The sequence below is a fragment of the Homo sapiens genome, chromosome 5 (genome assembly GCF_000001405.40).
Source record: "Homo sapiens chromosome 5, GRCh38.p14 Primary Assembly".
NCBI classification, from domain to species: domain Eukaryota; kingdom Metazoa; phylum Chordata; class Mammalia; order Primates; family Hominidae; genus Homo; species Homo sapiens.
Window position 1 is genome coordinate 158,957,064 of NC_000005.10, and position 21,328 is coordinate 158,978,391.

Consider the following 21,328-nt stretch of genomic DNA (forward strand, 5'->3'; position numbering starts at 1 on the left):
CTAGCAGCTCCCAATTACTAAGAACTCTGTGCCAAGCTCTCTGCTGAGTGCTTTCTATACATTATACCATTCACTCTTCACAAGCGCCCTGTGAGATAGACATTATTATCCCCATTTTACAGATGAGAAAACTGAGGCTTCATAAATTTAAACATTACTTGAACAGCCAATAAAATTATAGATATTTACCAGACTTTTCTGTAAGGTATTATTAATACAATGGTAAGCACTGTCATGGATGCAAGAAAATACTGGAATTTAAATGACAAAGATTAAGTCACATAAGAAATGAAAATTGATGAGGCAGGTCTAAGCAGGAAGTCCCAAGAGGGCAGGAACCAAATCTGTTTTGTTGCAAATTAGGTCTGGCATAATATCTGGCCTATAGGAGATGCTGAATCAACAGTTGTAGCTAAATGTAGAAAACAATACGTAGCAAGTGAGTATATTAGAACTCTCTGAACATTTTATCTCCAGAGCACTTGGTTAATCAAGGTTCAAGAAAAAAATGGTCCCAACTCTGCCACTACCATTTCAAAGCTCCTTGACCCAGGGTGTTTCAGGTAAGCCATAGTTCCATGGCATGTGCCTCTTCTTTTTATTTGGGTCTGGCACCAGAGGCTGAATCAGAAAATCTCCATTTCCCTTTGTCCCTATTCTGCCATGGACGCTTCCTCTGCCAAACATTTCATAGTTCCTTTATGGCCGCATGATATTTTTCAAGGGAAATGATTGGCAAACAGCCAATACCCCTAATGCAGAAAAGATGCCAACATCACTCCCAGGTTTAAATACCTTCAAGGAGACCCTCAACTGAAGTGGTCCTTACAACCAATCTGACTTTTTTTCACTCTCTTTTTGTGGGAATATCTTTTACACGAGGCTTAGAGGGAAAAAGGAAAAAATAATAATAAGAAAACGTAAAGAAAAAGAAAACCTGCCTGAAATGAAAAATTCCAATCTTGCCTCTGTAAAAATCCTTCAAGCCCAGTCAGCTGCCCCTCCCCCTTGATCCAAGCCTCTGTGTTTCCCGGCAAAGAGGTTAGAAAGCTGTTGAAAAACATTCTCCTGCTGAATTGAGACTGACATCTGACAGAGCTCGGTGGTGTCCTAACTTGAGTGAATTTAAATGACAAGCTTGGCTTTATAAGTAAGGGATCCTCTTTTACAATAGAACAGCATGATTGCTTCATGGCAGAGGGGGAAAAGAGGGAGAATCAAAGTTTTCTTCAAATCCCCAGTGGTGCCATTGACCTGTCAGAAGGTTGTGACCCACTCCTGTTAATCCATGCAAATCAGATGCCTCCAATTTGCGGTGCTGATTGGAGTACCACACCTTTAAATTCAGGAAGCGGCCTTAGAGTGAGGTTCCGATCACAGAGTTCAGTTCACCTCTCATTTTTTTCTTCTTCAAAAACATGATGACAGCTGACTTCCTTCCCGCCCTGCCCTTACTCAGTCAGGGAAGACTGTCTGATGGTTTCCTGATTAGCATCAAGGCAAAAGCAGCATGTTTTTCATAGGCTATCGCTATTACCTAAATTATAGGCCTGTTGCTCTCAGCATTTTCCCCCCACAGACAGGTTAATATACACATCCCACTGGTATTATTGCTTTGCGAAGTCACCCAGTCATTTTTATGACATAGAGGGGAGAAGGCCTGGAATTCCCCGGAAGAGGCTTCAGATCCAGATGAGAGACTCTTACACAACCAGAAACGCCGTTTTCTAACCATCCCATTCAAAACTTAACAACACTTCCCACGTTCAATGCCATGTGCCGTGCATATTTTAAACCATGGGTAATTTCAAGCAGAAACATTCAGAAAAAGAAAATGAAAAGGCTGGTATTTTGGATATCAGGAATATGTGATTGCCCACACGATTCGCACATTACTCAAGTTGTCCCCAAGTCATCTTGAACTGGCTACTTAAACAATGTAAGTGACCAGAATTTTTGTGCATCATATCAAGGTAATTCAAAATTCTAGTGAGAGGAGGGATTATTTAAAGGACTTCAGTGAATTTGCATTTTCCAAAGCTTGGAAAATAACTTTCTTAAAGAACCCCTGAACCATTAACATATCTGAGGAATAAATAATTGTAATAACCATTTGCCCATATTTTAGAAAATATACTATTCCTAACACCAAAAAAAGATGCCAAACATAAAACAAATCGAAATAAACTAAAACAAAAATATAAAGAAAAACTCTAGCTCTACTTAAGAATTTTTTTTTTTTTTTTGAGACGGAGTCTTACTCTGTCACCCTAGTTGGAGTGCAGTGGCTTGATCTCAGCTCACTGCAACCTCTGTCTCCAGCGTTCAAGAGATTCTTCTGCCTCAGCCTCCTGAGTAGCTGGGATTACAGGAGTGTGCCACCACACCTGGAAGATTTTTGTATTTTTAGTAGAGATGGGGTTTCACCATGTTGACCAAGCTTGTCTGAATCTCCTGACCTCAGGCAATCTGTCTGCCTCGGCCTCCCAAAGTGCTGGGATTACCGGCCTGAGCCACCAGGCCTGTTCAAGAATTTTAAAGACATAAATAATATATAATTCTTTCAAAATAGGAAGACTTTTAAGACAAAAGAATATATATGTATGTATATATATATATACTTTCAAGATAGAAAGACTCAATTTAGTAGAGATGTCAACTTCCCTAGTCTTTAATACATTACTCAACTTTCTAAAGACATTATTTTAACCAAAAATATGATTCATTCATATACAAGAATAAATAAGCAATAATAGTCATGAAAATGGGGGATGATTATATAATTAAAACACATTATACAGCCATAGCAATTAAAATCATGCAGTAAGAGAATCAAACTAGATCGACCAATCAATGGAACAGAACAGAAAGCCATGTGCCTATATATCCCTAGTTAGGGTGGCTATTCAAAATAGCAGAATTGACACCTACATTGTCCCTGGAGCTCCAGTCTGGAAGACATAATACCACACTCACTCCTTTAAATGCACCAGAGAAGCCCCTTTAAATTGATAGAGAAGGGTCTGAACTGAGGGGGAAGGAAAGGAGGGGACACTTAGAGCAGCAGATATTTACCAATCAGCATGGAAGCATTTTAAGATTTTAATAAGGGCTATAGTCATATTGTAAGTATCAGTGGAATATCTACCCTATATTTACTGATAATAAATGAGGCATTCTAAATCATTAAGAGAAAGTGAGCTTATTCAAAAATTGCCACTTAAATAAATGTTATTCAGAAAAAAATTGCTGTATCTAATTTATTTCTAAAAATAAATTATAGAAACACTAAAGAGGTTACATGTAAAAAGTGAAATCAACAAAGAACTAAAAGAAAATATAGGTGAAGATTTATCTGACCCTAGAGTAAAGAAGACATTGTTAAGCACAAAGCAAAAGAAAGACTCTAAAACTGGAAATGATTAATAGACTTAAGTATATTAAAATTGTACATCTCTGTAAAAAAAAATTTAAATTGAAGGGCAAACTGGAGGAAAATGTTTGAAAAATGTTTTTAAAAAATAGGTTCTCTAATGGTTTTTAAATATATCCACAAATTCTTCAAGAGGTGGAACTTCGTTTCTCTCTCCTGAATGTGGGCTAGAGTTAGTGACTTGCTCTTAACAAATAGAAGAAGACAAAAAGTGCAATGTGTGACTTCCAAGACTAGGTCAAAAAGGCCTGTCAGTTTCCTGTTTGCTCTCTGTAGGCTCACTCAGTGTGGGAGAAGCTGGCTGCCATGTCATCAGGATACCCAATCAGCCCCGGAAAGGCCTTGTATCAAGAAACTGAGGCCTCAGGCCAATAGCCCTGTGAACGAACTACCTTGGAAACAGATCTCCCAGCCCCGGTCGAGCCTTCAGATTGCTACATCTGACCTGAAATTCTTGTGAGACAATAAATGTTTATTTTTTGAAACCTAAATAAAAGCCCATAAGGGAAAAAAATAAGGGAGAAAATGAATAGGCAATTCACCAAAATATGCATATAAATGGCCAAAAACACAAAGAAAAATATTCGAGCTCAGTATTCAACCTCAGCAATAATCACAAAATATAAATACTATATTTCAGTTTACCAAGTTGGTACAAGTTTCTAAATGAGGTCCTTTGAGGACGCCAGTGAACTGCACTGTCTTAACACATAGTGAAAGTGTAAACAGTATAACCTTTTTGGAGGGCAATTTAGCCACATATATCAGAAGGCTTAAAAATGATCATCTCCTTCAATTCAAAGATTACACTTTGAGGAATTAAGCTTAAAGGAAAAAAAAATCATATTCAACCCAAAGATACACAAGGTGGCTCATTGCTGATTTTAACAATTGCAAAAAATTGAAAACTGACTACAGACTCTACAACAGAGTAAATAACTTATAGCCATAGGATGTAACGCTGTGCAACTATGTGTTTAAAAAATTATGAGATACACTATAATATTCACAATAAAAGAAAAAAGCAAGTCACAAAACAGCATAATCCAATTTTGTAAATACACAGTTCTGATATATACAGAGAAAATATTCTGAAAAAAATACAGATGTTAAAAAGATGATTTTTCCAAATTTTTGGATAAAAGATAATTTTTTCTTTCCAGTCTGTATTCTTTTAAATTCTCTACAGAGAATGTAAGTTACTCTTTTAATTTATTTTCTAAAAAATAAAAATCATTTTAGGAACAAGAGATAAATTATGTGCTTACCACCTACCACTAAGTAAAACTCCGACCAGTGGAGGTCATTTCTATTTTCTCAATAATTATTTCTTTATCTAAGCTTCTGAGGGAAAGAGAGCGAATTTTTTTAGGAAGAGAGAAAAATGAAATTTTGAAATCCTAGAAAGTCTTATTCCAGATGAAACAGGGAAAGCTTGATACTTTTTGTATAAACCTGAGTGGTTAGTGGCACAAATGCATCAACCCCATTTGTTTACACCTTGCATCTGTGCCGATGCACAGGCCGATCAACCATCTTTCCATACAAACGCTGAAGGTTACCAATTGTCACAGATTTGGACTGCTATCGATGGCAGCACAGGACTGTGTTTAAGTGATCTGATAAAGCCGGTGGCAGCTTGAGGGGCGGTATGCTTCCAAAATACGTAAACAACATTGTCAACAACTAGCCCATCCCATAAATGTAGCCCCCTTCTCAGATGTTTTGAAAATAAAATAGGCATCTCTTGCTTACCTTCCTGTAGGCCCCAAACAAAACAAACAATCACATTAAACTCAGAGCTTCCAATTCAAAAGCCTTGGAAACCAAGCCAATAACATAATGAAGTGAAGCTGCCAAGAGGCTGGGGACCGAGGCAAGCAGAGGACCATATACCCCATCTACAAGGCAACAACACCACAATGGCCAAACGAAACGCTTCCCCAAGCTCAATATGATCACAGTTGCCAGTTTGCAACTTTGACTCTGCACACTCCCTAGGAAGAGTTTCTAGAATCATGAAGTTTCTCAGTGCTATAAACCAGAGTGTCATTATAGAAAGCTTTGTTTTATCAGAGTACAACTTCTTATGTTCTATTCACTTTCCTCAGTTAACTAGCATTGCTTTCTGTACTGGGCTTATAAGAGAATGAAAGTAAATACTTTTTAAAGCCTACAAAGCCCATATAGGTACTTACAGTTCAGGGTGAAGAACAGTATATTAGAAGTCTGAGAGCAAGGTATAAATCTCGCCTGCGGGACTAAAAAGGTATAGGACTTCGAGCCATCTCTGCAGCCTCCCTTTCCACTTCTTTAAGGATGGGGTTTTATCAGATCGTGGGTAAGTTTCATACTGACTCAAAAGGCCCACAATTCTAAAATTTAGGAAAACAACTCAGTGACACCCCAGAGTGAGTTCACATCTAGCCCAACCTCCTGTACCTCCTATAACACTGCCCTATAGACAGACCACTATTTACCAAAAAAGATGATGAAATCCTTTTCCACCAGCAAAGCTGAAAAAGCATAACAGATCACTCCATTTCCCTGGCATTCTGGCCAGTCAAGGTTTTACTACAATCACGTATCTCCTTAACTTCTTCGGTGGCTTATAGCTTATATTTTCACTTACAGACTGTGGAGGTCCAGGAATGAATGATATTCACTAAAGAATACTATCCTCAAATGTCTGTTCCACCACTAGCCAATTATGGTATCCCACCAGATCTGAATTTCTAAAGAAAGGTTCTCTACACACTAGAGTCTTAAAAATGTTCAGAGGTTTACCACAAAAAAAACAAACATTTTCCAACAGATTTGCAATGATACTTTGCTATTAACTTTTACGGAATGACAGTACAGGTTCTTTGAAGGTTTCATCTCCTACATTGGATGACAGTAAGAACATCTTCAGAACTGACCCCTACGACATGCCACAATTCAAGCTTAGAGAATACTCCGAAGTCCATGACAAAGGCTTCTCCCTCCAACTGAAAAAACAACTTTCCTACCTCTTCTACCAGTTATAGGCCTCTGCCTACACACAAAACATATCACAAAGCATGCAATGTAGAATCACAAATAGAACGACCCCAGGGATCCTGTGCTTTTAAAGGTGCTACTAGGGAAGCTGGTGGTCACCTGATCCCCTTTGTAACTTGGGTAGGAAAAAAACAAAGATATTAAATCGAAACATTTAAACATGACATAAAAAGGCACCCATCCAGCTATTAATGAATGGCAGTATATAATGGAATATCTAACGAAAGAGTGTTGGAACATTTTCTCTGCACAATTTCTAGTGTAAATTCTTGTTGAGGTTTATTGCTTTGTTTCCTTCCTCCCACATTTATTGATTTCATTCTTGGAATCAGACATAGTACTTGGAAACAAAAATAGGAAGACAATAATATCCTGCACCCTGCCCTCAAGGAGCTCGCTGCTGGGGATGGGGGGAGTTACATGGTAAACTGTTACCAGGCAGTGTGAAAAATGCTATGACGGAGAAAGAGTGCACACTTGTACCCTAAGTTGATGGGTCCAAGAAGGCCCCTTTGAGAAGTTAATGCTGAATTTAATCCTAAGGATAAGTCAGACACAGCAAGATGAAAGCTGAGGCAAGGAGAAAGCTAAGAAGAGTATACCAGTTATAGGGGAAAACAGGTGCAAAGACAAAAGCAAGCTCAGAGTTCACGGTGAGTGTGCATCAGTGCAAAGTGGTCCAATGTAAGGAGGGGAGTAGCAAGAAATGAAGCCAGGAAGGACACTGTACATAACTCTTAAAAGCTTGCACTTTCATCTCTGGGACAATGAGGAGCCAGGCTGTCCAAGTGGGAGCCACTTTAAAGCAGAAGAGTGATGTCAGAAGCATCAGAAAGATCATTCTAGCTGCCGTGTAGACAGCAAACCGAGTAGGGTTAAGACTGGAGGCCAGGAGATAGCTAAGAAGTTACTCTAGTAATCTGGATGAGAGATAATGGTGAATTCAACTCAGTCAGACAAGCAGAATAAAATGGAAAGGAGAGAACAAACATGGGAGCTGGTTAGAAGGACCCACAGGTATGGAGAAGCTCGAATTGATAATGACAGTCTGTTAGGGTCTCTGTAAGCACAGTATTCTCTACCTAAGGCTTCCCCAATCCCAGAAATATTATATGATCACCAAAGCCCAGGGAAATTCTCTGAGCTGAGCTTGGAAGGACCCAAAACACCAATATGTAATCCTTTGAGTTCCTTAAACAGGTAGAGGCCCACGTATAACCAAGTGCTCTAATTTTCATTTCTCTTGGTACAGTGTTTACTCCAGAGGAGCAACTTTCCATTTTTTACTTGACACATGATCTGACATCTGCCTACAAGTAAAAAAATAATATGAATTTTCAAGTAGTGGAAATGCAACAAATCATCAAGATGTGTAAGAATATATTTCACATTTGTCAAACAGATCTGACTTCAGTAAACAGAGATAGCTTAACATGTGATGCGTCAAACAAATAATCCAACGTGTTGAGATATTTGGTAACCAGACTAGAGATATCGTGTTGTTTGTTGAAAATGGCCCTGAACTATGAGTCAAAAACTTTACTTTTTAGCTCTGGTTGTCACTAACTCGTTATGTAAGTTTTGTGCTCCCTTGCCTGGGAATAAGGGAGATAGAATAAAAGAGCTTCAAGGTTCTTTTCAACCCAGATTCTAGGATCCACCTCCATATTATACGGTGGTTTTCTAACTGTGTGGCCACAGGATCCATGTGGCATAAAAGCTCTTAGGTGGAGATTCAAATCTCCCATCCCCTTTGCTTTGAGCAGTCCCCTTACATCTTTTATACATATTGTTTGTTTAAAGAAAGGTTATTTGGGAAAAAAAATGCTTGCAAACTTGTGCTCAGTGGATTTGCCTATTTTCTGAAAGATCCCAATTGTACTTTCATTCCTAGGAAGATTAATATCATGCAGAAGTTTAAGCTTTAACAGAGAGTAGAGACTGCTCTGCAGCTTTGGATCTTTGCAATTGTTTTTGAAAATCCATACAGTTAAATCACGGTGATTCACTTATGCAAATTCTGCATTTATCCCAACCTCTAAGCCTTCTGTGGCATTTGAGTTTATAACAGCTTTTGTAAATGTTGATTTAAGATTTGGGATTAAAGAAGGAACACACCACCTGTCTTAAAGTTGACATAAATGTTATAAAATGGGATGCTACACTTTTTCTAATCCTTGTCTCTAACCAGACCCATATGTAAATTTCACATAGTAGTATTTAGTAGCATAATTAATCCCTACTTTATGTTATGAGTAATATTTCCTATTCCCGACCCTGTAACGTCCTTTAAGAAGATCCATGTTCCAATTAGACTAGCCCATCGGCACTCTTTTAATGAGCAGATTAATCATTCAGATGGGTACAACGGTGTCATCACAGGTTTTAAATATGATAATCTACATCCTAATGGTGCTGCAAAACCTTGGCTTAGAGCAAAAAAGGTAGACAAAATTGGTGAGGGTTTCATTTTGTTCTCTATCTGGGACAAGGTAGAACACAGGAAACCTTGAGTAAGGCAGAGGATCTGATTTGGGAAAGTAATCTTAATTCAGTTACACCAATTATTTCTAGAAGAAGTAACATTGGTTGCTTCCCTAAAACACACACTGGTATTTGTGACTCTTGGGAAAATGTTTTATATTTTCTTGTCCAAAGAGCTTTTCTTTTAGAACTTCACACCCAACTTTCCCTTCTAAGAAAGAGTATAGAAAGGGAACTTCCAAGTAACAGCGGTTTTAAAATAAAGTTAATTTTGATTAAGCCTGACCCATATTGACCAAAAGGTTCTGCCACACAGGTATGGAAGGAGAAAAAGAAAAAGTCCTTCCAATTTGATGATCACTTTTTCACATAGGGTTATAAAAAGCTATTTATTTTTCTATGCCTTCATTTCCCCTCTCTACAAAAGCAGCATTACAGTCAAATCTCAGACAGCATCAATTCTCTGGGCAATAGATGGCAAAACCACTGAAAAATAGGCTCACAGAGAGAAATATCAATAAACTGGAATTGGCGATAAATGATTCACCCCGACAAAAAGTACACTCTTAGAAGGCAATTAATAGACCCAAGAAACTCAAACCAAACACATATTCTTTTTCCTGTACCTCCTAGGGCTTTATCGTAACTACCCTGAAAGCAAGTTCCTTTTTGAATTCTTACACTGCTATCCAGCTTCCCCCATCTCAGTTAAACTTGTCCCCCCGAAAGACAGCCACCTGGCTTGGTACTGAAAACCAGGTCCAAATCACCTTTTTAGACAAGCAAGTCCTGATTATATTTTTAATACAAATAGCTGAAGGCCAATTCATCTGTATCTACAGCCAAGGGTTAGCTGCCAAGAAATCTCCAAAGAGAACATAGGCTTACTTAAGCAGATAGTGAAGGATAGTAATTTAGGGCAGATGTCAAGTATATGATAAAGGAACATAATGGGATGGTGCTGTTAATATGCTCAGGGTAACCCCAGGTTCATCAGAGGCATCTGTAATAACAACCCAAGTTTCTGGATCTACACAGATAAAAAAACCTTTTCAGGAAATAAGAGATTTGGGGGAATGTACTTATAAGGGGGGTGGGGAAGGCTGCTCCATAGTGATAACTTCATCCCTTCCATTTAACAAATGCACAGGGAGCTCCCAGGAGTGCTGGGCACTGTACATGCAGTAGTGCAGGAGAGATACAAATCCCCCTCAGATGATTTCATACAGCTCTGTTTCTGTTTTGAATTATAAGGTGAAAAATATTCTTATTTTGGAAAGGCTAAACTAAAATACAAGTTTCATTCTGGAATTATGGACCAGAATCAATATGTATCTTTACCGTAAAATGGAGCCCTTTTCTATGGAACACAAAAGACGTCTTTATTACCATCAAGATGCTTGTTGTAGGATAAAGTTTCTCTTTAGTGCTACTCCCATACCCACCTTCCAGCCTTTCAATGCTTTCCCTATCAAAACTGGCTCTTGAGATAATCTAAAACTCATCCATATACGTATCGAGTATATGTTTGGAAGAGGGCAGAGAGTTATGTAGTTGCTCAGAAGCCAAAGAATCAATATGGTAGGATTTCAGACAGCAGCAGGATTACGAAGAAAATTTTAGAGAGGGAAAGAACTGCGTGAGGTGGTTTTGGGGAATGGGGAAGTGGGGAGGGATTTCCTGTTTCAATATTCTAGATTTATCACTTTGGAAGTTTCTTTAAGGCACATGTTAGCCCTGCTTCTGAACACCCATGAAGTCACCACTGTGAGTAAACATGAATTCAACTAGTTTCCCCCTAGGGCAATGATTCAGCCAAAACTACAAAAGGGCTGAAATTTCCCAAACTCAGAAATTTCAAAAAGTTGTGAATGAATTACACATAGATGCTATTGAGAACAATGGCTTAGTATCTGTCCACAGGAAACATTTTGTAAATCTAGAAGACCTGTCTTGAAATGTGGGTTAAAATATGCAACTCAAACATGCTTGTCTCCAGTAGGTTTAACTCATTCCCGTTAAGTACCACATCATGGAAAAACACATGTCAACAACTACAAATAATTGCAAAAAAAAATTATAAATTAGTTCTAGATGTCTAAGTCAGTGCGATTCATTTAATGCTTCCACTGAGATCCCAGTCCAAGAAGAGTTAATCAAGCATAGCGGCTTCCTAATCAGAACAGTGAACTAATGATCCTATTTCTGAGTAATACCAGTCAGATAAAGCTCTCAAAAGGTAGTTAACATCACTTTGGTGGAAAGGAATGACAAGTGCAAGTCCTGGTAGGGGTAATGCATCATTCATGCCCCCTCTCATTCTGACATTTTAACGTTATCTTGTTTTACTGTGTCGGCCTAACACTGCCACTGCCGGCAAATTAAACTGTGAACTTACAAAGTGGGTGGCAATAAATACAAATTATGAGAGTTCAAAAGATGTCCCTGGAGGTGCACTGCTAGACACAGAATGTCTCTTGTTTTTCTGTCACATAGCAATAGATGAGAGACAAAGTGGAACAGGCATTTTTGGAGACAGGAAAAAAGAGAAAGAATTAACTTGCTGCTGATGAAATATCAGATAAAAATGAAGACAAAACACATACTTAAAAAATTGATTTGGGAAGAACATACCACTGAAAAAGAGAAGGGGCCTCAAAATGCTGTGTAAACATCAAAGGACTTATGATCAACTTGTCTTTTATGAAAACAACTTCAAAAATCATTTTTGAAATTGAACAGGGTATTTGTAAATTATCAACACTAATAGCTATGTATTCCAAGTAAAATTTACAATGAGAAAATATGCATTGATGCCACAAAAATCTTGTTCCTTGTATAAAGTTGTGAAATGACATCTGAAGTCCCTAGCACCCCTCCCAGCCCAGAAAAAGTAAGAAAAAAAGAAAGGAAATTTGCTTCTTGTAAGTAATTCTGGATGTACCAACCTAGCCTGGATACCACTGAAAATACAAATATCAAGAGTTTCTCAGGATTGGCTGAGCACGGTTGCTCACGCCTGTAATCCCAGAACTTTGGGAGGTTGAGGCAGGCAGATCACTTGAGGTCAGGAGTTCGAGACCAGCCTGGACAACATGGTAAAACCCCATCTCTACTAAACATACAAAAATTAGCCCAGCATGGTGGTGTGCACCTGTAATCTCAGCTACACAGGAGGTTGAGGCATGAGACTCACTTGAACCTGGGGGGCAGAGGTTTCAGTAAGCCAAAATTGCACCACTGTGCTCCAGCCTTGGGCAACAGAGCAAGACTCGGTCCCCCCAACCCAAAAGAAGTGCTCCTCAGGAAGCATTTGTAGGCTAAGAAAAGAGACTTTCAGGAATCTTAATTTCTGCAGCAATCCCATGTGCCTTCCTGGTCACAGCATCCTCAAGGGTCAATGGGCAAAGTCAAGGAGAAAAGAATAAAAATTAAAATGTCCCTAGAAAGACTGCTAGGGGCCGGGGGCTGTGGCTCATGCCTATAATCCCAGCACTCTGGGAGGCCGAGGCAGGAGGATCACTTGAGCCCAGGAGTTTGAGATCAGCCTAGGCAACATGGTGAAACCCCATCTCTACAAAAAAAAAAAAAAAAAAGCAAAAATTAGTTGAACATGGTGGCAGGCACCTGTAGTCCCAGCTACTCCAGTGGCTGAGGTGGGAGGATCACTTGAGCCCTGGAGGTTAAGCCTGCAGTGAGCTGTAATCGTGCCACTGCATTCGAGCTTGGGTGATAGAGTGAGACTCTGGAAAGAAAGAAAGAGAAAAAGAAGAAAGAGAGAGAGAGAAAGAAAGGAAAGAAAGACAGAAAAGAAAGAAAGAGAAAGAAAGAAAGAAAGAAAGAAAGAAAGAAAGAAAGAAAGAAAGAAAGAAAGAAAGAAAGAAAGAAAGAAAGAAAAAAAAAAAAAAGGCTGCTGGAAGTTTTGCAAACTTCAAATGCCTACAATGAAAATTGGAAACACACCCCAAACAAAAGAAATCTGCCCCTTTTTAGGCACATGAAAAATGACAAACCTAACCCGTACTACAGCCAGGGATCAGATTTTTTAATATCACCTAACACTGAGACTTTTTTTGCTCTCAATTTGGTCAAGTTCCACTAATGAATCTTATAAAATATTTTATCTGCCTATTCCATGCCCACAAACCACTCACAGGAGACTTGGAAATCATCATTTCTTCCAGAGTGCAGATATCAGTTGGGCCATATGCAACAACGGTCTGTTTATTTTTCCCATAAACCACCGGTTTCATAGAAACTCATTAGCATCACCTGTGTTAATTACACTAGCAAACCAATCAACAGCTCCTTCTTAATTAGGTTTTCTTTATTAAAGCCGGAAATTGCCAAGGAGACAAAAGTCACCTGGGGAAATCATGTGAAAAGGAGTGTTTATGCCAAATTACACACTAAAATAATAATAAAATAACCCAGTTTGTTTACAGGAAAAGGAAACAATATTAATATTCAAGGTCACTGGCACACTCCTTATTAATTATTCTCATTATATTACATTGTGATCATTTCTGCTTCAAGAGGGTTGGCTTATAGAAAGCCTTTGTACTCAAAGTTGACTCACATCAGATTTTAATGGCTGCGGTCAGCGATTATGACTTTCTTATTCCATAAACACAAGCACCTACGGGTTAAAGCAGTTAAGACTAATTTCATGAGCTCATGTCCCAACTGTAACTCAAAATCCTGTATGTCTGTTAGTAAACCTAGAAAGGCATATAAAAATCTACTATAAAAGGAAAAGATACACATGTGACTCTTGGAATTTGTAATTCTCCTAAAAGAGAAAGGAAAAAAGACTTCCAACCATATTCCTCTCACTTCCAAGTGCCTTTCAGCTGTAGGGAGGAGGAGTCATAGCACTGAGACCACAAAAGTAGCTTTTAGAAGGAGATTCTTTCTCCAAGTTTAGCCTTACAGGGAGGTTCCCCTGGGACATTTAAACCAAGACTGGTCAAAGCACTAGAAAGTAGATTGCAGGAGCTTCTGGTAGCATGGAGGTGAAGAGGGAGGGGCAATACCGGGTAACCTATTAGGCCTTTTCATCTTCAATTTACTATAATGCTAAGTACATTTATCATGGACTCAAAATCTATCTTCGGAATAATGAAATCTGGGCACGCCCATCTGTAAAGTGGGGATAACAATGCTTAACCTGATTCTTGCAAGAAGAATGAGTTCATATTTAGAAAGCACGTGGATGATGAAAGTCACAGAGCGAGCGAGCATTGATCTGATTTCCATGGGTCTCGGAAAATAGCCTGTCCAGGGAGGCCCATGAATTCCGGCACTGTGTGGCCAGCCCAGTGAGTGATGGTAAAAAGTCAACTAGACTTGGAAGCTGGACCTTGAAGAAAAGCAAATGGGGACTTTAAACAGGCAAACATAAACGAAATAACTTCCCGGCATCAAGGCCCTGGACCCAGCAGTACAGGCTGTCAGGGGACTGCCTTCTTGGAGTCGTGGTTGCTTTTGCTTCGGTTGCAGGACACCTCCCGCCCAGGTCAAGGCTGAAGAGGTTCCATGACTTTTCACTAAAAATCAGAGTGTTTGCCCCAAGATACTGAGAACCTCTGTTTTCTAGAATAAATGCCATAGGAGGAAATTGTCAAGGAGATGACCAAAAGACCACAGGAAAAACATCACAAGCAGTCCCAAAGCATGAAGAGGTCTAAATATAAGAAGATTTTTACTGTGGCCTCTAAAAAGCCCACAGAACCAACACGCCCATCCAGCACTGTCTTCAAGAGCTAAGCCTAGGGAGTGCTCTCCCTCACCTCCACCCTGGAAAAGTGCCGAGGACCTAAAGTCCATAACATTGAAATTGCTTCTTAGTGTTCAGAGATTAATATTAAAGATTCATACCAAAGACTATAGCCCTAATGCTAGAAAGGGAACCAGAAGAAGGACACTCATGTATGGGTAACAAAGCATTTGAATGTGAATAATAAACTATTTCTTCCTCTTCATCATTTTGCAAATTGCCACAATGAATTTTAACCTTCCTTTTGGAGAACACACTGGGTTCTCTAGAGAATGAAACTTCAGCTTACACAAAAGCCAAGGTGTCCGTGCTGATTGTCCATGAAGGGCTGATGACCTTTGTGGGAAGGTGCTCATCCTGACAGGCCATTGTCTTTCCTGCCCACCTCAATCTGTGTCCCCAGCTGCTCTTTTTCCCTCCCTGCTCTTCCATCTACCCAGCTGGATGCCCTGTCACTCAGCCCTCAGCTGACTTTATTTCAGTCACCTGCCCATATTACCCACGTACTGTCTCGTATATTTAGGTACACAGTTGTCACATAAACATAGATGGTTTCGTGGAAACTGAGTTTGCAATACGGTTGTCAAAGCGGATAGATGTTTAATAAGTACAATGGATCTGTTCCCAAAATGCATCTTTATGAATCATGATCGGCTTAGCCATCCTGTTAGTGGAACTGACCCAGAAGCCATTCTAAAAACATCAAATCACTAGTTGTAGTGGTCTTAAGGTTTCACTCAGGAAATGTCAGATGACCTGGAATACCCAAAGCCTGTTGTTGGAAACGCTTCCCTTTAGTTTAAGGCTTCTTGGCTTAACGCTAATGACTAGGTGGATATCTTCTTCATTGCTTGGAAACCTTCTTCTCATCTATTTGTCCTCCACTTTCGATGGCTTCCGATCTCACTCAGAGTAAAAGCCCAGGACCTCCATAGCGCCCACGGGGCCCAAGAAATGGCCCCAGGATGCCTTGGGCAGCGCCACCTGCTACTTTCTTGCATGCACGTTCTGCTCCTCCCCACTGGCCTCCATAGCCTTCCTCAAACCTGTCAGGCACACTCCCTGCAGGGCCTCACACTGCCTTTCCTGCCCTGTGTTTGCTTCCCCTAGCTATCCGCAAGGCTCTGTCCCTCTGCTCCTTCAGGTCTTGGCTCAAAAGCCAACCTATCAGTGAGGCTTTTTCTAGTTACTGTATTTAAAATGACAACTTCAGCCCCTCCCCAAATATTTCTTCACCCTATTTCCCAAACTATTTTCCTTGCAGAATTCATCACCATTTGACGTACTGGATATTTTACTGGTTTGTGTGTTGATTGTCTGTCTCCCTGCCCTAGAACGTAAGCTCCATGAGGGCAGGGATTTTTTCACTCTTTTATTTGTGCTAATCCCCATTGCTAAGATCAGTGCCTGGATCTTGAAAGGTACTCAGTAAATACTTGTTGAAAGAAGGGAAGGGGAGGAGAGGGAAGGATATTTCCACCCTCTTGATGCACCTTTTTATTTCTCCTCTTTCTAGCCTTTTCTCTCTTCATCCCCTATTTCCCTCTCTAGAACATTCTTCACACTCTCCTACCCCAATCCCACCCCTTCACCTACATGACTTCCATTCTTCTTTCACCACTTTCTCAGAGGTTTCCCTCACCTTCCTAACCAGCTCAAACCAACACACACACACACACACACACCTGCTGCCTTCATTAGATAGGACCAGCAAATCACCCAGATATTTGGCGTCCTCCCTTTTGTAAACTTATCACATTACAGATTTCACATTCAGGTGTGTGAATTTTAAATTTAATGTCTGAGCTCCAGAACCCCCAATCTCAGTAACTATAAGTTCCATGGGAGCAGGACCCTATTATCATTATACCCCCAAGTAACTAGCACACAGAAGGCATGCAATAAATATTTCTTGGTTGAATGAGGCAAACATTTATCTTCCGTGGTAAAAATTAATTCATATTCTATTCTTAGCTAAATGTCCCATAAAATCCTCAATAATTCCTAGTAGTAGTAGTGGTAGTAGCAGCTGTGGTCATTGTCATTGTTGTTATCACCTGCATGCCATCTTCTGGTTCTCACCACCTCTCCCCACCTGGGCCAGCTCCCTCAGTCTTTTGCCACCACCTTGTACCCTGAGGAAATGCACAGACACCTAGATCTTATGAACAGCAGTTCCGTTCTTATTCCTAAATCATTTTGCTGGTGTTTCGATTCATTCATGCCTCCATTGTAGATTTGCCACAGTGAACGTGTTTGTAGGTCTGCATGCTCCCCAAGGGCATAGATGCAGCTCATCCTCTTAATATCTCTAATTCCTAGCACAATGATACAGTCAGTACGTTTGAATAAACCAACAAGTAGTTGCCCTATTCAGACTGATTTCTAGCCCTCCATGATTGGATGGCAACCTGTGGTTCAGAGAACCCAATATAATCAGAGCCTTCTCTTTTTAAAAACTTCAGGCTTGAGGCAGAAAGTCTGGAAAATTACCTAAACCTTTGGTAACCTATGTTCACAGCCTCAAGGAAGGTAGCCAGTGTTTCTGAGCTTTCAATCCTGAAATTTCTCAGTTGCCACTTGAGAGGCATTGCAAAAATCCTCAACTCTGAACTGTCTCACTTGGATGATCTGTCTAAATTTCAATTGTTTTGCATAATTTCTTCAAGTTTATTGGTGAGAAAAAAATCCTCATTGGAAACATACACGGCTTCGAGATGGAGTTTTCTTTTTGTAGACAATTTCTTGAATACACACACACATTATCTCCCTGATAGGCAATAATGGCTCTTTAAGGCGCTGTCATGATCAATCGTAAAAATACATATTTAGAACATTTTTTAAAATGTGTGTATTATAAAAATGTTTTAAAATGAAAACTATTTACCCAAAAGACTATAATGGTTCCAAAGAGTATTTTGTAAATCCATATTTGAGACTTTAAGGAGAAAAAACAGCAACAATTTCTGACCTGGGAGATTATAAAGACTTCACTGAAGCTATTAACATTTATTGTCTTTCAAAAGCTAAAAACGTTGCTGGGGACATGCTTGCAGGTTGAAGAAAAAACACAGCCCATCTTCTAACAAAGGGTCTTCGATGCACCTCTCTGTCCTGCCCCAAAGGCTGACAGACACCAGTCCATTATACTAACTAATGGCACACTTAGAAGAAAATGCCATCCAGAGATGTTAGCCCAGGGACCTTGACTAATGGGTACTGTCTAATGTTCAAAGACCCCATCAGCTCTGGTCACTGATGAGACATTCTAAGAGTAGTGCATTAAGAACCTTGGTAGAGAAAGTCACTGTGGGAAATCTGATAGGATAAATTGAATATTTGAGGGGAAAACCCTCTTTATCCCTTTTGTCCCAAGCCTGATTCAGGAAAAAAGAAATGATTAATGATCTCACATTAAAACCCAGTCTCCTACACCTCCTGTATCTCTTTCCATAGTCCTGACCCCACTCCCCCCAAAAAATATTTGAATAAGACCCCTGAGTCCTAATACTTAGTACATACCGTATGCTGTGTTTACTGAGACAAGAAAACAAAAGACTTTCTGGTTCACAGGGAAAAAATCCAGGTCTGTTGAATAGCAGAAAAATAGATCAGATCAGTGCTAAAGTTGTGAATGCTGTGTGGTGTCTTCATATATTTTCCAACTTTTTTAAACGAAAGAGTTTTTGGTGTTGTAAGGAAAAAAGGAGTTGGGAGTGAAATGAAAGACAGAGAGAGGCAGGAAAAAAAGAGTGAGAGTGAAAGGAAGAAAAGAAAAGAAAAAGAAAGGCTGAAAGATTTCAGGCATCTGTAATATTATATGCTAAGTGCTGGCCTGAAGCAAAATGTCACAAGCAACCTACAAATGGAAGTTTAAAATGGAAAGAGGGAGAAACTTATCCACAGCCACATGAGAAACACTGTTGGACATAAACAACTGGGGGGTCAGAGCTGGAAGGGGCTCACATTGACACATTTTTCACATTTTTATATTGTAGAATTCACAAATCTCTACTTGGCTTCCTCAAAAACTTTACCTGTTGGGACCGAATGACCAGCTGGGTTTGATTAGGACAGCAAGCACGCCCCCATCCTCTCATTGGAGATCTGGGATGATTGGACTCAGCTTTACACCAAAGGAAGTTAAGTCCCTAATAGTTAATGAAACGAGGTGATTTCCTTTCTTGCACCTGAAATAACCTGCCTCCCAGAGCCTGTCCAATAGACTGTCTCCAAAAGCAAATAGATCCAGCAAAGAGTACCTTCAAAGCCAAGCTTTCATTTATTGTCAAGACAGAATGAAATTGGTCCTTTTTATGTAACACATGAGTTAGGCTGACCTAGCCATTCATACATAGCAAAGTAGTGATTCATTGTGTTGGCTTTTTTCCCCTCTCCTGTAATGTTACAAAAAGAATCTAAATAACTCAAGGGCTCCCAAGCCTCTTGATGAGAGTACTTAGCTCACATCAATGGTAATGGGACTTAAACCTAGGCATTTTAGGCAGAATGGATTTCTTTGTTGGGTACTTTTCCTCCTCCCCTCAACCCCCCTCCAGCTTGATTTCACACCAGTTATGTGTGCAAACCCACAATAAATCACTAGGAATGTAAAATACACTACACTTCCCCACCCCCACCCCCAAGTTGGCCTAGGTCATTTATCATTCTGTGGATTTCAAAAAGATGGTAGTGTTTTTATTGCAAAGGCCTTGTCATTACAGAAACTAGAAAAGAAAGTATTGATCACAATTAGATCATATATTAGCAGCCCTGATGCTGGGACTGCTAAGGATTTCAACCTAGATCATTCTGCCCTCTGTTAAAATTCTGGACAGCAATTTCTTTTATGTTAGAATAACTAGTATAAACCCATAAAATGTAACCTAAAAATGTAATTATAATTGCCATGCCAAAAGCAAGCCAGTCAATATCTTTGAGATTCTAATAGTTTCAAGCACTATTACCTTAACGGTCTCACATCACAGTACTGATTAAAGAAACATTTTGTATTTTTATCTGTATGGAATGGCCAGTGTAATCACTGAGGCATAGAGAGCTAAAATATTTATTAGTGAGTATACATCTTGGTTCAGGCAGTGAATGTCAATTTAGGGTGGAAAGTTACAGCAGAGCTCTCAGTTCAATTCATTTTCAGGTTCTTCTACTGCTCCTGGGGTAGTCATCCCATGCACAGAAGGAAATCTCAGAATCTGCCCCTACACCCAAATGAACTCCTCCTGCAGATTTTCCAGTAAGAAGCTCTTGTTGGGAAATTTCAAACTGGTCTTAAATGGACAGCGACTATCATGGAACCAGAGTGAACCAACACACCTGAAAGGAGGCAGAGCTGAGTAGATGCAAACCACAAAGTGAGGCCCGCCTGACAGCCAGTTCCCCAATCCACCCTTCTTATCCCTCAAAACAGACAAGCAAGCAAAACTATTCATTTGAACCTTATTGATTTAAAAATAATGTAATCTAAAATACATTAATAAAAACCTATCATTCTCTCACAGAATACATAATCTATGATTTATAGCTTGGAAACTAAATACTAAACTCACAATTAGAAAGTACACGTAAAGGGTTTCTTTAAGTTAGACACTTAATACGGTTTCTTTCAACAAACTATGCAATCTCATGACATGGATTTGGAATGTAAGAAATATAAAAAGGTGTTTAAAAATGAACAGAATATTCCTGATCATTTCTCTGAGAATTAAAAATATACGTTCTCCCAATTAGTAGCACAGGAAGAAAATTTAGCATCCTATCAGTTCAGAAACATCAGCACAGTAGCCAAATAAAATTTCTACCATGGGATATGCACTATTAATTTCACAATTAAACTTATCTGTGTCATGTGCGTTTCCACAGCAAGATATGAAAGGGGTGGTTAAAAATCTGCTTCATTTAGGGAAATATACTCTGTGACTTAGTAAGAATGCCATGGCGCTGACCTCCCAGTGGGCTGCCTGGGAATGCATCCACTTTGACTTTTCACTGGTTCTTAAATAAACAGGGTACCAGGCCTCAACCCGCCCTGCCTTAGGAGGAGGGAGGAGAGAGAAAGAGACATACACACACACAAAGGCTAAAGGAAGGGAAAATGGGTGATTCTGACTCAAAAATTAAGTGAAAACGCCAACCCTGTCATCCCGGGATGGCCAGACAAAGGGAAGAGGCTGCCTCACACCCACACGGTCTACCCGTGGGTAAACTGGCATTTCTAATACTTTTCACCTAGTCTTGACTTGACAGATGCCTAACCTTAGCTACTGAGTGGAGACAGGCTGATGGGCCTTGGCCATACAGGGGGAAAATTTTTGATGCTTCTCACTTATGACATGATTGATTTTCTTTCAGCGGCCCTTCACTTTGGGAAGTGGCGAGGGCTGGCTCACTGCGCCCCGGTGCGCCCTGACCCCCGACATGCGGCCGCTGTGAGGCTGGAAACCGATGACGGCAGAAACCTAAAAAATCAATAGGCCCTGTCAGTCAGGGGCCAGGCGGATGTCTTTTAAAAACCCAATCACGACATGTATTTGCTGCATGGTGTGGAACTACTGCACACTTGAGAACACACT

The 21,328-nt window shown here is 39.8% G+C and overlaps 1 protein-coding gene across 27 annotated transcripts in view, besides 4 other annotated features; it reads right to left on the bottom strand.

The window, feature by feature from the left end:
* Positions 1-21,328, bottom strand: part of EBF1 (EBF transcription factor 1) — a 403,997-nt gene that overhangs the window by 261,144 nt on the left and 121,525 nt on the right. The gene's annotated exons all lie outside the window — the stretch shown is intronic.
* Positions 757-1,619: an enhancer, noted in NCBI's record as "OCT4-NANOG hESC enhancer chr5:158384828-158385690 (GRCh37/hg19 assembly coordinates)". NCBI's record gives its function as "activates a minimal SCP1, AML or CMV promoter by ChIP-STARR-seq in naive and primed H9 embryonic stem cells {active_cell/tissue: H9 hESC(naive and primed)}" and the evidence as "EXISTENCE:reporter gene assay evidence [ECO:0000049][PMID:30033119]".
* Positions 1,348-1,417: an enhancer, noted in NCBI's record as "active region_23538". NCBI's record gives its function as "activates an Ori minimal core promoter by ATAC-STARR-seq in GM12878 lymphoblastoid cells {active_cell/tissue: GM12878}" and the evidence as "EXISTENCE:reporter gene assay evidence [ECO:0000049][PMID:35858748]".
* Positions 1,448-1,497: an enhancer, noted in NCBI's record as "active region_23539". NCBI's record gives its function as "activates an Ori minimal core promoter by ATAC-STARR-seq in GM12878 lymphoblastoid cells {active_cell/tissue: GM12878}" and the evidence as "EXISTENCE:reporter gene assay evidence [ECO:0000049][PMID:35858748]".
* Positions 18,963-19,480: an enhancer, noted in NCBI's record as "NANOG hESC enhancer chr5:158403034-158403551 (GRCh37/hg19 assembly coordinates)". NCBI's record gives its function as "activates a minimal SCP1, AML or CMV promoter by ChIP-STARR-seq in primed H9 embryonic stem cells {active_cell/tissue: H9 hESC(primed)}" and the evidence as "EXISTENCE:reporter gene assay evidence [ECO:0000049][PMID:30033119]".